This window comes from Homo sapiens, chromosome 4 (genome assembly GCF_000001405.40).
Source record: "Homo sapiens chromosome 4, GRCh38.p14 Primary Assembly".
Classification (NCBI taxonomy): domain Eukaryota; kingdom Metazoa; phylum Chordata; class Mammalia; order Primates; family Hominidae; genus Homo; species Homo sapiens.
This window is the reverse complement of record NC_000004.12, coordinates 5,896,387-5,916,308: the sequence shown is the minus strand read 5'-3', so window position 1 is coordinate 5,916,308 and position 19,922 is coordinate 5,896,387. Positions and strand designations below refer to the sequence as shown.

General features: G+C 45.1%; 1 protein-coding gene across 4 annotated transcripts in view, besides 1 other annotated feature; it reads left to right on the top strand.

The window, feature by feature from the left end:
* C4orf50 (chromosome 4 open reading frame 50) overlaps nt 1-18,722 on the top strand; it is a 120,960-nt gene extending 102,238 nt beyond the window's left edge. For all 4 annotated transcript variants that reach the window (XM_017008893.2, XM_047415667.1, XM_047415663.1 and 1 more), the window contains one exon: nt 10,860-18,722. The gene's annotated coding sequence lies outside the window, so the exon portion shown is untranslated. The remainder of the gene's footprint in view (nt 1-10,859) is intronic.
* Nucleotides 3,063-3,688: an enhancer, noted in NCBI's record as "OCT4-NANOG hESC enhancer chr4:5914348-5914973 (GRCh37/hg19 assembly coordinates)". NCBI's record gives its function as "activates a minimal SCP1, AML or CMV promoter by ChIP-STARR-seq in naive H9 embryonic stem cells {active_cell/tissue: H9 hESC(naive)}" and the evidence as "EXISTENCE:reporter gene assay evidence [ECO:0000049][PMID:30033119]".
* Nucleotides 18,723-19,922: the final 1,200 nt, after the last annotated feature.

The following is a 19,922-nucleotide window of genomic DNA, read 5'->3' as shown; positions in this document are numbered from 1 at the left end:
AATCCAGGCAAGGCAATGGGAATTCTTCATTCTGAAACTATGATTCTCTGTGCATGGGCCCCCCAGAGTAACCAGGAGCTGTTGGTGCGTCTGTTCCCTGTCCAGTGAGGGAAGCCAGGACAGAATAAGAAAGAAGTCACAGCCCACAGGAACCAGGAAAATGGTAGGGCTTCTTGGCAATGCTTGGGTCCCTGGTCACTACTGTGTGGAGCTGAGCTCTGCCCCTGTGGTAGCTGCACACCCATCCCTTGTTACAGGACTAGCCTTGCCTTCCTGTGCCATTTTTGCCCAGGCAACTTCAGTTTGGTTCCTTTCACAAGCAGCCAAATTGTGCCTGCAGATACAAAACCTGGTCTATCTCAGTGAAATCTATGGTTCTAGGTACAGTGTACTTCCCAGCAGGTAAGTGTAGCCTAAAAGGAACATTCAGGAAAAAGAGGAGAGGGAAGTAACCTGGATTGAGCTTCTAGAATGTTCCAGGCACTGAACTTACCTCCTGTGATGGAAGAGTGAGTCAGGCAGGAGATGCTTAGCTGCAAGAAACAGGACACATCCTATTGAAACGAGCACGTGTTTATTACCCACTCATCAGGGAGACTGAAGTGCATGGCATCAGGGCTGGTTTGGTACCTTGGTGATGCTACCGACCACTCAGTTGCTTTCCATCCTTCAGAACCACTGTCTTCAGTTTGCTAGCCTTTCTTCCTGGTGGTCACTGCCTCATGTCACAAGGTGGCTGCTGTGGCTTTAGTCTTCACAACTGTGTCCCAAGACGAAAGGAAAAGGCAAACCTCCAGCATACATTGGCCAGGGATGCCCACAAATGTGTCCCATGGTCATTCCTACCTGAGAGCCAAGGTCCCTCTTTCCAAGCTCTAGTCTAGGAGATGACAAAGGAGAAAGGAACTGGGAGTAGCTGTTGGTTGGCTAATGAACCATGTCTTTCCCTAGTAGCATGTGTGCACATAACGGTATCAAGAACAAACTGTGTCTGAGAATGGCAGGAACTGGATATGATCAAACCTTAAAGCGTGTGGACAAAATGATGGGAAATGGTGATGTTGACAGGCAAGATGAAGGGGGTCCTGGCATGGCCCTAGGGACCACTGAGGCTCTTAAGGCAGGTGGACCCAGGAAGGGGGTATTTCAGAACTAGATTTACAGTCTAGAAAGATCCCTCTGGCCATTCCCTGGAGGGTCGTTAGGAGGAGAGTTGAACTGGAAGCAGGGCAGAGACATTTGCGGTGCCTGTCCTGTATATTGAAGATAATATTTTTAGGTGTAGAATTTAGAGTAATTACTTTCTGAGCTACTCATTGGATTAAGGAAGTGACCAGACAGACAATCAAGGTTAAACTAAAACTCATTAGAAATACAGGAGAATTTATCCTAGTAGGGAAATAGACTATGAGATGGCACCTTCATCTGATTTTTGATTTGATGGAAATGGCTTTTATCTGAATTTCTGTGTGCATAAGCAAATCCCAGGCTACATTAACTTACTGACTCAGCCTTGTAAAACAAGCTCAAGGTTATTATGTCCAAGTGAGATCAAGTACAAATAACTTTAATGCTATAGAATAGGACATTATACCCTCTAAGTATTTCTAACAAACGAAAAATGAGAAGCACCATCGCACACATTTCTTCAGATAGATCTGCTGGCTTTGTAAGAGAGGACATGGTAAACTTATATAGGTATTAAAAATTCAAACCGTGATAATTAATTTTAAGTGATGTATGCTTATTACAGAAAAACTAGAACACAGAGAAAAGCAGTTAAGAAAACATTAAAACCCATAAAAGGCCAGGCGCGGTGGCTCACACCTGTAATCCCAGCACTTTGGGAGGCCGAGGCGGGTGGACCACAAGGTCAGGAGATCGAGACCATCCTGGCCAACACGGTGAAACCCCATCTCTACTAAAAATAAAAAAAATTAGCTGGGCATGGTGGCAGGCGCCTATAGTCCTAGCTACTCAGGAGGCTGAGGCGGGAGAATGGCATGAACCCGGGAGGCAGAGGTTGCAGTGAGCCGAGATTGCGCCACTGCCCTCCAGCCTGGGCGACAGAGCGAGACTCCAAAAAAAAAAAAAAAAAAAAAACACCCATAAAAACAAAAACAAAATCTGTTAACCTCCTGGCTCATATTCTTTTTTATCCCTGCGGGTAAGTTTCCATACAATATTCATAATCATAGTCAATATACAATTTTATCTACTTTTTCATCTAGTCTTGTAGGCATTTTTTCATGCTATCATTGTCTTCATAAACTTTACTTCTCATGATTACATAGCATGAACCTTTCTCAACCCTTGTTATTGAACATTTGGGCTGCCGGGGTAATGAGATGACTATCATTGTCTATAAATCTTTGTCTTCATAGAAGACTATTTCTTGGAGATTGATTCTCAGAAATTGAATTATTGTCTCCAAGGGAATAAACATTTTTAAAGCTGTTGATACCTATTGTTGGTTCAGAAATTCAAACTTGTGCTAAAAGTTAAATTAAAAGCAGACAATGCAGCGAGAAAGCCCCGCTTTCTGTATTCTTTCCCTTGGCAGCCTGGAGGTTTGGTCCCAACGTCTGTGGACGATTTACTGCCTTATTTCTAAATAGGATCAATACACCCAGGAGCCCTAGTGTAATGAGATTCAAAGGGACCCTGACTCCTGAACGAATCCATCAATTGGACCGGAATGTTAAGGACAGCGAAAGTGAAATGGCTCTAATGAATCTTGATATTGAAACAAAATATTAGGGCATTTTGAGAAGAAAGCATTTTATCTCATCTATATTTTCCATTCCCCATGTGATTAGGAAGCTCATGGAAATTGAACAGGCTCATCTGTTTCATAGTATATGCTATTTCTACACACCAGAGCTTTCTCTGACCCTCACTACCCTCACTCAAAATGTGTTCCCAGAATAGTCATTGCCTGCCTGCCATTCCCCAGGCACTGTGCAGAACACTAGAGACACGGCCTCCTCCTCATCAAGGAGCTATGGTCTGGAGTTTCCAGTAGTTTCCCAGGATCAGATGCCAGCTCTGCCATTGCTAAGGCCTCTGAGTATCTCCTTCTTTACACCAGCCCCATAAGGTAGGCGTTGTCATCCTCATTTTACAGATGGGAAAACTGAGGAAGAAAGAGGTTAAGTAACTTGCCCTAGGCCACACAGGTAGTCGGTTCCAAAGCTGGTTGTATTAATAAAATTTTATTTTCTATAGTTTGTGATGTTTTGCCATCTTGGGGCCTTGTTGGCCAGAGAGATACGGCCCCTGCCAGGGCTGGCTAATTTCTAGAGATGGAAATGACTCCCCTGTGAGCACGCCTTTCATATGCAAGCCAGACAATCTACAGCCTGGCAGGTTTCCAGTCTCCTCCTTTATCTAACATACCAAGCCAACATTTCCCCTGCCACATGTCATCCCAGGCCCAGGTGTCAAACAACTAGAGAACATGCAAAAATATAACCCAGAGCATGCAACAATTTTAAAACTCTCCAGTACTGGGCATGCTCAGGCTTGCCTCCCCTGCCTCACCCATTTCTTCCTGCAGAACTCACAATAAAGGCTCTGGGCCAGGCTCTCTCTGCACTCCTCTGCCTCCTGCTTCCCTCTGTGGCCTTGCATGGTGTGGCATGCCCCTTCCTCTAGGGAACTGTGAGTAATAAACTCTTCTTTCAAACACAGTTGTCTCTATGTCTGTCACATTACCATACCCTATTAAAACAAAATACTGGGTGCATTTTAGAACACTGGTGCACTCTTTCACCATCATACCCCTTTTACAAGGACAGATACATTTCCTTGAAAGTAATTTGGTAGAAACACTGCTGAAAATGCTTTGTACACTCATCCCAGCTCCTTTTCTTCATAAAGGCCTATCTGCTGCAGTTATAAAAATATTTTCCTCATTCCAATTTTTTCCTATTACATTTGCAAAATTGGTATCCTGCTCTCATTCATTCATGCATCCATTCATTCATTCTTACATGTATGTCTTCCCCAAATACACACACACACACACACACACACACACACACACACACGAGTGGAGTGCTAGACTGGAGCTGGCTCTTCCTGCATGCCTTTTGAGAGCCAATTGCATGCGTCTCTTACCAACATATCAGCAGCTTAAAATCAGCCATAGTAGGAGTGTTTACACCACGGAAATTAAAAAATGCCGAAAATCAGGTCTGGTATTTTTGTTTGTTTGTGTTTGTTTGTGTGGTTTTTTTGTTTTTTGTTTTTTTGTTTTGCAAGACGGAGTCTCGCTCTGTCACCCAAGCTGGAGTGCAGTGGTGCAATCTTGGCTCACTGCAACCTCCGCCTCCGGGGTTAAAGCGATTTTCCCGCCTCAGCCTCCCAAGTAGCTGGAACTACAGGCATGCACCACCATCCCCAGCTAATTTTTGTATTTTTAGTAGAGACGGGGTTTCACCATGTTGGCCAGGATGGTCTCGATCTCTTGACTTTGTGATCGGCCCGCCTGGGCCTCTCAAAGTATTGGGATTACAGGCGTGAGCCACCACGCCTAGTGTTTTGTTTGTTTTGTTTTTGTTTTTGTTTTTGTTTTGAGAGCCAGTTGTTAAACATTTGCTAGCTCACCACTGTGGTTCTCTATTTCTGTTCCCCACCAGGGCCTGAGAGCAGCAAGTTTCCTCTTCATCTTTTTATCTGGGGCAGGCAAAATGGATCCTGCCACCTTGAGTGGTGAAGCAGGCCAAGCTGGGCCTTTCTGCATGTTTTGTCATTCTGATGGACCTGTAGGCAGCCAGGGAACCAGGCTTACCTATCTGAAGAGAGGCCCCTCTCTGTAAAGGGATCCCTTGCTGGGGTTGTAAGTGACATGTGAAGCATTCCCTCCCTGGCTTCACACACATTCTAGCAAGTCTCATTGTAACTTCACTCATGAACGAATTCCCCAATAGTTGGAGTTGTCCATGAAACAGACTTCCCTGGCACAGCTGGTGGGCTCCCCATCAGAGGACACATCCATGTTTGGGCAACCATCCACCACAGATACTCGATGTGGGGGTTCTGGTTTTGAGAAGGGCCAGAAAACCCCACAAGTTCGAAAGGCACAGAAAGGGAAGAGGCCGGGCATGGTGGCTTACGCCTGTAATCCCAGCACTTTGGGAGGCCGAGGCAGGTGGATCATGAGGTCAGGAGATCGAGACCATCCTGGCTAACATGGTGAAACCCTGTCTCTAGTAAAAAATACAAAAAACAATTAGCCAGGCATGGTGGCGGGCACCTGTAGTCCCAGCTACTTGGGAGGCTGAGGCAGGAGAATGGCGTGAACCCGGGAGGCGGAGCTTGCAGTGAGCCAAGTTCACACCACCGCACTCCAGCCTGGGCGACAGAGACTCCGTCTCAAAAAAAAAAAAAAAAAAAAGAAAGAAAGGGAAGAAACCCATTGGCTCTGATGAAACATCTGTTAGACAAATAGGGACATGGTGCTACTTTCAAATTCAATAGAGAGGTATCCCCCCCACTCCACTGACAACAACAAAAAAGAGAGCACCTGAGGGCAGGGACTTTATCTTATTTCCCCTCAAACACCAAAAAAGCTTCTTGCCCAGGGCTACACACATAGAAGATTCTTGAAGAATGCTGGCAGGGGGTGAGGTAGAGAGGTTATTGGTTGAGGAACTGGGGAGGCCACTCCAAGCTCAGCCATGATCGAGTGGGGTGATTATTGTGGGGTCATTTTCTCTTTGAAAATCTCTTTCCTCAACTGATTATACAAGGACACACTCTAGATAATTCCTTAGGAATAACTAGTATGTTAATTAAAAACACCACAATTCACATTAATTCTGTTTATAGCATAATGTGGATCATAAACACAAACATTACTTAAAATATAAAAATTAGTGACCAGATGGAACAGATTGACGAGATTCTTAAATTTTGAAGCTTTTCAAAAGGCTTAAATTTTAGATTTAATTCCCTATGAGAAATGCTAACTATCCCCTGAGGAAATATATTGGAACCAGGTTGCATTCCGTAAAAATCACATTAAGTTGAACTAGGTTTAACCTGTCCTTGGTCAGCACCTGCTCTGTTCACATTTTCTCATGAACAGTTTCTCTTGGGGTTTTTTTATGTATGTTTCTCTGTGTCTTGCTCAAGAGCATGGATCCTGAAGTCTGACAGATCTTGTATAAAATCTCAGCTCCATTAATATTGCTAAAATTATCATACTACCCAAAGCGATCTACAGATTCAATGCCGTCCCTATCAAAATACCAATGCCATTCTTTACAGAGATAGAAAAAAAAATTCTAGAATTCACATGGAACCACAAAAGACCTCAAATAGCTAACACAATCCTGAGGGGGGAAAAAATGCTGGGGGCTCCACACCCCCTGACTTCAAAATATACTACAAAACCGTGGTAACCAAAACAGTATGTACTGGTACAAAAACAGACATATAGATCAATGGAACAGAATAGAGAACACAGAGACAGATCCACATATCTACAGCCAACTGATTTTCAACAGAGGTGCCAAGAACATACATTGGGGAAAGAACATTCCCTTCAATAAATGGTGCTAGGGAAACTGGATATTCACACGCAGAAGATTGAAACTAGACCCCTATCTCTCACCACTTATAAAAATCAAGAATGGATGAAAGGCTTAAATGTAAGACAAAAACGATGAAACTGCTGGAAGAAAACATGGGAGAAATGCTTCAGGACATTGGTCTGAGCAAAGATTTTATAGATAAGACTTTAAAAGTGTAAGCAACAAAAGCAAAAATATGCAACTGTGATTGTATCAAACTAAAAGGTTCCTGCACAGCAAAGGAAACAATCAACAGAGTAAAGAGACAATCTATAGAATGAGAGAAAATATTTGCAAACTATACATCCAACAAGACATTACTATATAGAATATACAAGGAACTCAAACAATTCAACAACAGAAAAACAAACAATCTGATTTTAAAATGGGCAAAATATCTGGTTGCGGTCAACAGCTAGATGATTTATTTCCCTCTGGACACCGAACCCTGCTTTTGGTGGTCAAGGCCAGTGTGCTCAGCCTGCAAGGAGGTCATGTGGTCCCTGCATGACGTAGAAGGGTTTGAATTTCAAGAGATGAACTCAAAGACATAGGCAGGGCTAGATATGACAGGATATTCTGTAAGTCTTGCTAAGTTAGGCTGCATCCTAAAAGCAGAGAAAGACATGTAGTAGTTTGAAACAATGGCAGGATGTCATCAGCTTCCTAGGAATTCTGGCTGCTGTGTAGAGTGGATTGTGTGGGGACAGCCTGAGGCAGGGAGCCTGGTTAGGAAACTCTCTGTGGTCCAGCTAAGAGGCAGTCATGGACTGGGCTGGGACAATGGCCATTCAGGGGAGTGAATGACAGAGCAGGTAACCCCCATTCTGTACTTTCCAGGCATTTTAAATCTTTGAAGTAGGTCAGGCTGGTTCTTCTTTGATTTACAGATCAGAGTGAGAGAAAGGGCAGTGACAAAATGGTCCCCAAGTATGACCTTCCCACATCCCCTGTGCATCCCCACTGAAGGCTGCATGACCTTGGGAGCTAGGTGAATGGTGTCAAGGGCAGTCACGTATGTATTGGTCTCTCCTATCGGATGGTGTTCTCTCATTGAGGAGCTTTTGTCTTCACAAAGGTCTGGAACTAAGTAGGTCATGGACTAGTGTCCCCATTTTTGCCCTCATTTTCTGATACCCCAGGGCTTTCCCCCCTCCCCATCGCATGGTCGTCTCCCTGCTTGGAGTCTCTGCCATTGTCTGCTTCACACATTTGCTTCCTCCACTGGACTCTGAAGGGAGGCTGTAGCCTAGTCGCTGCCAACTCCCCAGGACATATGAATGCCTCCTGTGGTTTTATAGAATCGTCACATCACAGAGCCCACTGGTTGAAGTCAGAGGTCCTCTCTGATATCCCCACACATGCAGTGCAGTGCAGTGAGCTTCCTGCATGTACCCTGTCATAATGTCTCAGTCAGCTTTCTCAAATGGATCCTTCATCTGACTCTCTTTAGTACACTGTTACTTTGTAACCCAGCATTTCCTTCTGTTCTGGCATTATACTTGCTTGCTTGTCTGTTTTACTCACTCAGATATAAGGCCCTTGAGGACACATGTGTCTGGGTTTTATTCATCTCAACATTCTCCATAGCCTTGAACACAGTGCCTGGCATATAGTAGGTACTTAAAAATGAGCAAATAAATGAGTGAATGAATAAACAAGCAAATGAATGAATGAATGAATGAATGAATCAGTGAATGGTCAGCTCTTTTTGTTAAAAAGTCCTTCTTTACCTTCAACTGAAATATGTCTCCTGTTAACCAGCTTTCTGAGCTGATTCTACTCATTGACTCCATGCAGAGTACTCTCCTCTGCCTCATGGCACCTTCTCATAGAGTGGAGCCTCAGGGGTCTGCTTTCTGTCCTTCGAACATGCCAACATGTTCCTGCCCAGCTTGACCCCACTTTAGGGCCTTTTTACTTCTCTCTTTTATGCCCAAGACCCCTGGCCCTATTGCTTTCCATGGCTGGATCTTCCTTGTCATTTGGGTCTCAACTCAAATGTCACCTTCTCAGAAAGACCTTTACTAACAACTCAATCTAGAGCACCTCTTCCCCCAGCCCCCATATGCCTCTTTATCTCTCTGGGCTGAATTCTGGATGATTTCCTCAGATCTGCCTTTCAATTTACTAAATCTGCCTTCATTTGTGTCTAGTCTACTGTTTAGCTCGCCTGTAGAGATCATCAGTTATTCTATTTTTCATTTACAGAACATATATGCAAATATTGTGATCATTAATATTTTAAAGTCTTCTTTTAGAATTCCTATTACATGACCCTCCCCACCACCACCAAAAGTGATCTATCCTATTTATTGCATCTGATGATTGTCTCTCAGATGTTGGATATCTATAATTCCTGTGATTTTTTTTGATGAAACTTTATCAGAAATTAGCATCTTTTAGTGTCCCACATGGATTTTGGAAGTGACCCTGTGGTACTTGTTACTTCTTAAACGGTTGTTCCATTAACTTATTGGTGAATGCAGTATCTATATGTTATCATGTATAATGTAGGGAAAGAATGTTGCCTTCTTGTGTTTGATATCACCCACCTGCTTCTAGTGACAGTTACTACAAGCTTAACTTGTTGCTTTGTCCTCGTAGTGGAGCATCACTGACTGCAGCAGTACCCAGATGCCAGGTGCTTATGAGCTTAACACATAAGAGTCCCCCCAGCTTAATGCATGAGCATAGCATGGAACTCATTGGAAACACAGATTTCCAAGATCTGCCTCATGAACACTGAATTCATAAATCTGAGATTGAGCCTAAGAATCAGAATTCTTGTAAAGTTCTCCAAGTGATTCTGATTTATATATAAGTTTGGATACCAATGGTCTTATAAGCTTCAAGGATTTAAATCTGGTTTATTTTTGTCTTGCTTATTCCTTCCTCAAAAAAGGATTTGAAGCTGTGTACCTACAGATAGATAAAAATACATTTTGAGAAGGAGACTAAAGACACCTACACGAACAATGCCCTGAGTAGGTTGGCTTCCTCACTAACACCCTTGGGATGGATGCGGCCACGAGCTGTGTGTGAGCCATCTCTGCCCAGTTCTGAGACCCTTAGCATTGCAGCAAAGCCTGGCTTGGTGAAGTCAGTCATGGGGCAACTGTGGAACTGCAAAGGGATGCTGTGCACAGACAGAGTTTTGATTTTCCTAGGGTCCCTCTCTGCACACTGTCACATTGTTCAGATATGTTTATTAATCTGGTGCATCCATGAAGGCTCTTCTTGGCAAACTGAGCTCTTTAGACCCACTCTCTCCGCTACTCACGCTGTGCTGAGCCCCTCCCAGCCTGTATTCTCCCATACTTCTTGGCTTCTGCCCAACCTGTTTCCTCTGCCCAGAAAACTCCTGTTTGTCTCCAAGACTGCTCGAATGTCACCATCTCCAGACAGTCTTTATTTCACCCTCCTTCATTTTCTTCCTTCCTTTCCCCTTGCAAAATCATTTTTGAGTCCTTACCATGTCTGGAGTCCCCGCCCCCCCACTTCTCTCCATGCCAACATCTGCCATGCTGCCAACCGTCACAGGTTCATCTCCTGCCACATCACTCTTTGCTTCTCTGTTTTCTTCACACCGGCTTCTCCTGCTCCCTCCCTCTCTCTCCAGGGCTTTTGCACTGGCTGAAGGCTCCTCCTCTGACACCCTGACACCAACTCTTGCTGTCCGCGCCTCCACTGTTACCCCTCCTCCTTTACAGCAGCACCTGGGACTTGCATTTGTTTGATGATTCCTATGTCACCCTCTGTAACGTGAGGAGGGCAAGCAGGGCATCCGTCCCTCTGCCCCCCGCCCCCCTGCCCCCGTGCTTAGCATAGAGATTACCACACAGCAGGTGTCCCATCACTTTTTGTTGGACGAACAAATGACGACATCCCAGAGCACCCCAGTTTGTCTTTCTTCTTCAGTTGTTCTCAACCTTCTTTTGGCCATTGGCCCCTTTGAGAGGCTCCTGAAAGCTAGAAACCCTCTCTACAGAATGTGCATGAATGCTTAGTAACATAAAATTTCCATATCATGTCAAGGGTCTGAAGCACCCCAAATAAAGAGAGCATTATCTAATAATTCCAAGCTAAGATTCTTTCCTGGAAAGCAAGCTGATAATTGTATGATAGATACTCCATGATATAAGTCCACCACATATGGTGTTTAAAGTGGGTCTCCCAGTGACGTAAAGGTGTGTGCATGTGGATGGCTTCATGTAGAAGCCACACTGGTTGCTATGTTCCCTTTAAGAACCTGTTTCCCTGATTTTGTCATTGCAGGAAGGAAGACAGCACAGGGGCAAACATAGCAAGCTGGAAAATATTTACATCCTTCTCAACTGACCGACAGAGCAGAGGTGGCCTATGATTTACAATCCTTTCCAGTGAGCCAAATTATAAGCCAAGCAACCATCTTCCTGTCTCAAGTCACTAATAGGGAATACTTCTACTCTGTATGATACCAACCTGGGGACCCAAGAGATGGCTGTTGACTGTAAGAAGCCCATATTTAATGCCATGTGAGTGACAGGAAGCCGGGTCTGGAGTCCCAAGGACCTGTCGGCTCTGCTGCTCCTACGCTGGGTCGCCGTGCACAAATAACTTACCTTCTTCCAACATCCTCTTCTTCGTCTGTTTGAGGGTCATATGCCTACTTGACAGTTTTGCTCTGACAACCAAATGAGCTAATGGCTGGAAAAGCACCTGAACACTGTAAGATTCTTTCCAAGTGTCAGGATCCTTGTTGTGTTTGTAAAATGCAGTTCCTTCGACTTAGGTATTTCACTGACGGTTGTCTCGGAGTGCACTCTGCCATAAGGACTCATTGATTTACCATTCTGCGTAGCTTCCATCCAAGATGGGTGATGAGGGGATGATAGGATGATGGTTTTAAAAAATCACTGTAGTAGTTATCTTGATATTATAGAGCTGCTGAAGAAGCTTGGGCTAGGATGGAGTTCCCAACCTGCACAAAAAGTTGTATGCATGTGAACTCTTTCCTAGGGAGAAGGAGCATGGATTTCATCAGATTTGCAAATAAGATTGGTAGACAAGCACCCTAGTAGCCAAGCACCCCTAGTCTCGGCAGAAAGGACTCTGTCCGGAAATCCAGAGACGGACTCTGCCTCCAACTTGCTGGCGACTTTAAGGCTGTCCCTTGGCCTCTATCCGCCCCAGCTCCTTATCTGTAAAATGGGTGTGGCACAGTCTTCCAGTGGCTGAGTTCCTACTGAGGGGCAGGCTCTGGCCAGACAGGAAGCTTCCACACCCAGCCTTCTTGCTTCCAGAGTAAGCGAAGAGCTCTTCTTCTCTCAACTTGTGTCCATGAGTTGCGCCCAACTGACCACAGCACCCCAAAGTGCCCAGGCATGCAGCCTCATTTCAGCTCCTTTTGCTCTGCAGTTAAAGAGCATCACGGCCCAGTTGCTGTGCTTGGACCCAGGGAGTCTGCTTCCTCTGACACCATTTCCCTGTAAACTGCAGGGCTGTGAGGCCCGCTTACACTGGCGGCCAGGGGCCTGACAGGGACCTGTGAAATCTCAGCATCGCCCAGGAAGATGCAGTGAAAATCCAGCTGTTGAGCGGGGAAACGTCAGTGAGCCACATGTTTTCTTGCCCTGGCTGCTGTGAGACAGTGGGTGGTGACTGGAAGTCAGATCTGGTGGTTGGAGTTGGCCATGGGTGTCTCAGATCTCCGCAGAACCTGGGGCAGTGGTCGGTGCTGGGTGAGCAACAGGCAGGCCCCATATCACATTACAGACCTTAGAGAGTTTCCAGTCCACAGCGGGTACTGGCAGCCCTTGGGCCAGATTTGGCCCACAAATGTATCATGTTTGGCTTACATTTACTTTTTTTATAATTGTGAATGAGCTCTGTGCCACTGAGCTGGATACTTAAAAATGGTTAAGAAGGTATGTTTCTCTAAAACTCTAAAACGTATCTTCTTAATCATTTTTAAGTATCCATTTCAGTGGCACAGAGTGCATTCACATTGTGGTGCAACCATCACCATCATCCATCTCCAGAACCTTTTCATCTTGCAAAATTAGAAACACCATATTCATGAAAGATTCACTCCTCATTTCCCTGTCCCACAGCTGCTGGCACCCACCCTTCTACTTCCTATCTCTATGAATTTGACCACTCTAGGACCTCATGTGAGTGGAATCATACAGTCTTTGTCCTTTCATGACTAGTTTATATCACTTAGCACAATGTTTTCGAGGTTCATGTGGCAGCATGTGTCAGAGTTTCCTTCCTTTTTAAGGCTGAATAATATTCCAATGTGTGGATGTACCACATTTTGTTTATCATTCACGCATTGAGGGACCTTAGGGTGGCTTCCACCTTTTTGGCTACTGTGAGTATTGCTCCTATGAACACAGGTGTACAAATGCCTATGTTGCATTTTTTAATATTGGAGTTAGCAAGTGACATTTAAAAACCAAGAGATTTCATATACAAATCTGGATTTCTGGCTTCTCTTGGAAAATCAGTGTATCTGACAGCATCGGGCTTCCATCTTCCTGGCCACAGTCAGAGGTGAATGAAGCCAGCTCGCTCCCTCCCCCACTGAGAGGCACCCCACTCAGTGGACTGCAGGGCCCCCACTCCTTTCTCCTCCACTCACTGAAAAAGCTGCCTGGTTTCCACAGGCTATGGCTTGGTGACACCTCGTCTGCTCAGCACCCATCATGTTATGGGTGAAAATGCAGAGGCCCAGGGAGGAAGGGTGGCTGGGGCCCGAGGTCTCACAGGCCAGGAAGTGATACAACTGCTGAAATGCAGGAAGGGCCTGCAACTGGGCATTGCAAAGCCTTGATTCTACTTCCAGCTCTGCTACCTGCTTGTCCCAGGTCCCTGGGACAAAGCCCTTAAACTTTCTGAACCTAAATTTCCTCTTTGGAGGAAAATGGGAGAAATGGAACCTTCTATTGCAGCCTCGTGAAGTATTGTGAAGACAGAGGAGATGTTGTGCATTGACCATTGAATGCAATTGGGATGGGAAGGGGTGTTACTAAAAGCACAGGCCATGTCAGGCAACCTAGCGTCTGGGGATCTGTTTTCTCATTTGCAAGACAGGAAAAGGGGCCACACCTTTCCCCACTGGGCTATTACAAGGATTAACTGAGGCAGGGAAAGAAAAGAAAAGCATCCGGCAGAGGGCTTGGCACCCAGCAGATGCTTCACAAATGCTACTTCTTAACAAGTAAGGTCACGTCCAAGGGTTCCAAATCCTCTTCCTGCAGTACACAACCCAGGAAGAGATGTAACATCATGGGAACAACCAGCTTCAGAGTCTATTGGCCTGATTTCAAAACCTAAGCTTGACGCATTAGCCACTGAGGGCACTGGGCAGGTGAGCCCATCTCTCTGATCTGCAAACTCTTCCATTGTTTAGTGGGGAAAATATCACTGTCCTTGACAGCACAGGGGGAAATGAGAAATGGAAGGTGCTCTGCACATAGTAGACATTCAATAGAGTCTAATTCCTTTCCTTGCCTTCCCCAGCAGAGATCTGTTTTCTAGGTTAAAAAGACGGCATGTTTTCCAAATATCTTCAAAAAAGGGAACAAGGAAAAGTGTGGTTTCCAGCTTCCCACTGAGGTTTGTCAGTCACCAGGTTTCATTCACTCATTCAAGGAACAAGCACTGATTGAGCACCACTAAGCGCCAGGCACCACAGTAGGCCCTGGGGTTCTGGGAGAGAACAGAGTAGGCCAAATTGCTGCCCTGGTGGGTGGGCTTCCGCGTAAGTCTGCTCAGTCGCTCCATGAGTACTCATTAAGGGCCTCTTCTGAGCTGCCTTTCCAAGGGCCTTGGCTTTACCTGGAAGGCTCATCTGTTGCTGTCTGTGTGATTCCTGCATATCTGGACCTCACCCACTTCTCTGGCAGTACCAGAGAATATACCTGTCTTGGGCCCCAGACCTTTAGACAGCATGGTGATCCTGCCAGCCTGTGCTGCTTCGGTTATCCCCTCAGTCATTTCCAGGGTCCCTGGGCAAGGCCAATGGAGCACTCCTGGGGTGAACAGTCCATCCCACTGCACACAGGACACCCTGTGGGCCAGGTGTGGGCCCCGGAGAGCCTTGCCTCTTAGTTTACCTTTAGGCTTTGAATGAAATGGGAATACGGATGGAAAGCCCTTTGTAAACTCTTAAGATCTACATGTATATACAGGATTGGTGTTATTTGACTTTCTTCTAGAGAGATGACAGAGACCACCCGATGTAGGAGAAACAGGTTAGGGTTTAAGACCAGAATAGCTAGGCTGCAATCTGGGTTCTGCAAGTTATTGGCTCCGAGACTAGGGAAAGTGGCCTCCCCTCCCCAGTTTACTTGCTGGGCAAATGGAGATAATAAGATACACACCTCGGCACCTACTGTGCGCAATAATGGAAAAACTGGATGGGAAGGCATTTTGCAGAATTACATGTTGTGCATATACTTTACTCATGTCATTAATATAATGCACATTTATTATACACCTACTGTGTGCCATTATGAACAAGGTGATCTGTCATATGACAATTTGGAAGAAAGTCCACAGGCTAAGGCAGAGAAGAAATACTTGTCAGATGGTTGTACTGCACATTCATAGATTATGATTAGCAACAGCCAGCTAGTTGGCATAGCAACGTTTCCCCATGAACTGCTAGGCACTGTTCTTAAAATAGGTATGTCGGAGGTGTGGCGGCAGTGGGGACACGCTGAGGTAGTGTGGTTTGATCGCTCTGCAGACCAATGGGCTGCAACAAATGCAAGACATACAAATGGTGACACACATGGTGACATACAGAGGGTGACACACATGGGCTGTGTGCTCAGAGTGGCCCTGCCATTGCCCTTCCCAGGCAAGCCAGCAGGTCAGTGATTAAGGTGACAGATCCGGAAACATCCATTGTTGGAGCTGGAGACAGCCTCAGACTTCATCTAGTGTAAGCATCCTTCTCCTCCCCATTTTACAGGCGAGGAAACTGATTCCCAGATGAGGTTAACTGACATCTGCGGTCCAGTGACAAAGCCACTTGACTGCAAATGGGACTGAACGTGGTTCGGATGTCATTATGCAGTATTCTCCAACCGTGCCATGGGGCAGGCTCTGCTGATTCAGAATTTTAGGTCTTGGTCTGATGCAATTAGTTTTCTACTGGGTTGCAATCTATATGGCATCATCTAGTGATAGATGTTAGTTTAAGGAATTCTTTCATTTTGTGTGGAATTCATGCCTGCATTTCGCCCTGGGGAAGCCCTGAATCCCAGGATATCTTGGAAACTCACCTACTTTTTGGCTAGACTTACATGATTGATCTTTAAATCCACCCTTCCGTAGCCTTCCTTACCTAGTTTCTCGGTGTGAAATCAAGCACCAAAGCTGGTCAAAGGTTTTTGAATTGCTTTGGAATGAGATTATTATATGAGTTTAGTTACCCATCATTGGAGAGAACAGGGAACGCAAGTCCTTTTACAGCTGGGGTCCTTTCTATTTGTTTTACTCAGCAATTTATTGAGTAAACTTTTATAAACTTGAGAGGGGCTTTTCATCTTCAGGCTGGTGAGCTTCTTTTAAGAGATTCACAGTTCCCCTTTGGTTCCAGGGTGAAATTCTAGGTCTGAAACGTGAAACCTTCTGAGAACTCAGCCAACTTCTGAGAATAGGGTGCGAGACATTTCTGACATATTTTAGACACAACCTGTTTTTCTCTGTTGAGACAGTGTCATGTGGTCGGAAGGGCTCTGGGCTGGGAGTCCAGGCAGGGTAAGAGGGGCTGCAGCCCTGCCACTTACCCCCTCCAGGTCATTTGAAGGATGTAAAGACCGCATTCTGTACTGATGATTCTTCACCCTGGTTGCATGTTGGACTCACCTGCAGAGCTTTTTAAAACACTGATGCCCAAGCCTCTCTCCAGGCCACTGAAATCAAGTTGTATTGGGTGGGGCCCTGGGCAGAGATCTATTTGAAAAGCTCCCCAGTGATTCTAATGGGCAGCTGGGGGAGAACCATGGGAATACAGTCACATAGTCTCTTTCCACTCCCCCATTCCCTGTGCTATTTAAGTTCTAAAATGCTATTGTGGGTTTCTTCTGTGCTAGACTCATATTTATTTATGCTCCTAGCTAGGAAAGAAATGTGTCCTCAGAGTCTACAGGAGGAAACTTCTCATCTCTGGAGAATTTTTGACCATGAGTTGGCTTTGTAACTCTACCCTCAGAGGGCCTTTTAAACAGCTGGTGGTTCTTAAAGAAATGAAATGCATGATGTGTTACTGCTTTGAGCTCCGCTGTGGCAGAGCCTGGAGCTGAGCTCTTGGTGACTGGTCACTGCACAATTCCATGAAAGTTCAGATAATATAATTGGGTGGTAAATGACACACTAAATGAATCTCTTGGGTGCAGTTGTTTGCATCCTAAACTCCAGAATATGCAGAAAGAGATATTCTGTGATAGATATATCTGCCAGTTGGGTAAGCAAACAAAAGTAGATTTGTCTTCGGCATGTGCACCAATGGCAAACTGCATTCCTACCTAGCTTTGAAATAAATTATTGGAAGTTCTCTGGTGCCTTAAGGTGGTGTAGAAGGAAAAGATCCCTGGGGTTTGTTAATGTATTTAGTCCTCTTCTCTGTGTTATGGGAATTTCTAAAAACAGATAATTTGTACGTTGGACCTAAAACTGCTTTCAAGAACTCAGTAGACTTGGGATTGAAGGATTGGGTTTTCTCTTTCCCATGTGAACTTCCCTAAATCCTACTCTGGCTTCAGAAAGCACAGCTCCTATACAAGTCTGACTTCTGCATTTTTAGTGTAAATGTAATGTATTGAGTAATGGAAAGACTAATGGAAGAATTGATAGCTCAAAAATGAGTTTTTTCCAACACCATTTTTTTTTGTCTCTGAAAACACCAGCAGGCTGTGTCCAAGCATGGGCTGATGATCCCTTTATGTGATGATAGAACAAGGGAGGAGAGAGACAAATTAATGGGATTGTTAAAAATGGCTGAAAACTTGATACTAACTTTGAGTCAGTATTTTCTTTTTAAAGTCGTGTAATACAATATTTGTAGATAGGACATTGAAAGTGATGGGGGAAATAAATGTCTATGCAGTGACGTTATAGCCATTAATTCTTTAGTGGAAAAGGACAAGGTCTGTACCTAACAGCAGTAGGAGAGTGAGTTTTGGGGCCAGACACGCGACGGCTCTGCTGCCGACTAACTGTGCAAGCTTGGACAGGGTACCTACCTCTCTTAACCTCAAAGTCCTCCATGGAAACAGTGGGTAAGGTGTGAAGATTAAAGAAATAGCACGCTTCTTAAAGCACTCAGCATGTCAGTGGATGTTGGGAGCCTTCCCTCACCCCTTTGAAAATGGGCTCTGCACAAACACATTTTGGTGGGAGGCTGGGGTCTATCCTACCAACCTGAGTTGGGGGAATAAGATGATCTCTTCCACAGTTCGGGTTTGCACAACCAGCTTTTGCAGGTGAGGCAGGGAAGAGGCATGAGTGTCATTGGCAGAGTGATAAGCGAGGCTGGCAAGTTCACTTTGGTAGAACCTCTGTGGACTCCTTAGTTCTTCCAGGTTGAATCCTGGGCAGAAATCACATGAAAGCTGTGAAGCACAGACATCAGTTTAGAAATTGTGTACTTTCCCGCTGAATCCCAAATGCACAATAACTGTACACCTTGCGGTTGCATGAATCTACAAGGTCTCCTATGCGCCCTCATTCATAAACTCAAGGCTGAGAATGTTGGCAGGCCAAGTCCTGCCCCTCCCCGGAGTGAGCTGCCTTGGTTCACACGGGAGTGGTCCAGCGACAGGACCCGACACCTCCCCTCCGGAAGCTCTTCAGCAGGACCTGCCTCGGGTCCTGGGGCAGCTATCCTCCGGGGCCTGCCTGCAGTGAAACCATCAGTCCGTGGAGATGTTCACTGGATTCCTGACCAGTTGTGGGTCGGGCTCAACCCTCCCTCTGGGTTTTCAGGATTTGTAATGATCGCTCCATTTGTGTAAAATAGGCCGGCATTTTCTCTTGTTACTGAGATGTATTTTTCTATGTGAGTTAAATGTATAATTTGTGTAATTTTGTACATTAAAATGTATGCTTTTTCACAATTAAAGGGTTTTTTTCCCTTCTGAATGTTTTATTTATTGATGGTTTGTTACAAAGTGTTGTCGACCCTGACGTAACAGAAAAAGGCAATGGAGCTAGGATTCCCTTGATTTTTGGTGGGGAATAAATGCTTTTCTTGGTACTCAAATCCACTTTGCACAAATAATTAAATGATTTCCTTTATAATCATGTAGTGATTTCTGATTGCTGCTTTGACAGATGACCATGAACCCATTGCCTTAGAACAACTCACATTCATTATCTTGTAGTTCTGAAAGTCAGAGTCCCTGGGCTACAACCGAGATGTTGGCAGGGCTGCCTTCCTTCTGGAGGCTCCAGGGAGAAAGTGTTTCCTTGCCTTTTCTGGCTCCTGGAGTTGCCCACATTCTTTGGCTTGTGGCCCCTTCCTTCCTCTTCAAATCTCTCTCACTCTGACCTCTGCTTCTGTTCTCTGATCTCCCGTTCTCAGACTCCGACTTTCCTGCCTCTCTCTCACTTAAAAGGACTCTTGTGATGACACTGGCTCCACCAGGTGATCCAGGATCATCTCCACATCTTAAGATCTGTAAGCAGAGCCACAGAGTCCCATTTGCCATGTGGAGTAACATGGGCAGTAGTTCTAGGGATTCAGGTGTGGGCATCTTTGAGCATCATTATTCTGCCCACCACAGTCCCATATGTACTAATTTGGAGGCCACAGAAAAAAGCAGACATTTAAAAATCAAATGAGCCTGGATTTGAACTGCATCTCTGTCACTTGCTGGCCATGTAACCGAACATGTTTACTTGTTTAACTTCTCTGAACATCTTTTCTTATATCTGAGATGAGGACAATAATCCATTACTATATACCTGATGATAAACTACAATCCCCTTTCCTTCATTTTTTGAAAACATTCTTTTTGCAATGAATGAACGAATTTTTTTTTTTTTTTTGGTTTGCCGAAACAAAATCCACATCGGACCTGAACTGGCCTCTTGTCCTCTCCCATCTGACGTGTCCCTTTCTGTTCTCTGCCATCACCCAGGAAGAAGGTTTCATGTCTGACATGATGAGCTCAAGGTTTGTCCTTCACCAAATGTAGTGCTGTAATTCACTTATAAGAACTCCTTCCCAGGAGGACTAGGAGCAGTTGGAGGATGGGTTGGGGGATGGGGGAGGTCACAGCTGTCGTCAGGATGGGGGCAGTTATCTCAGGCTTCCCCTGCTGCCTCTGTTGGTCCCTG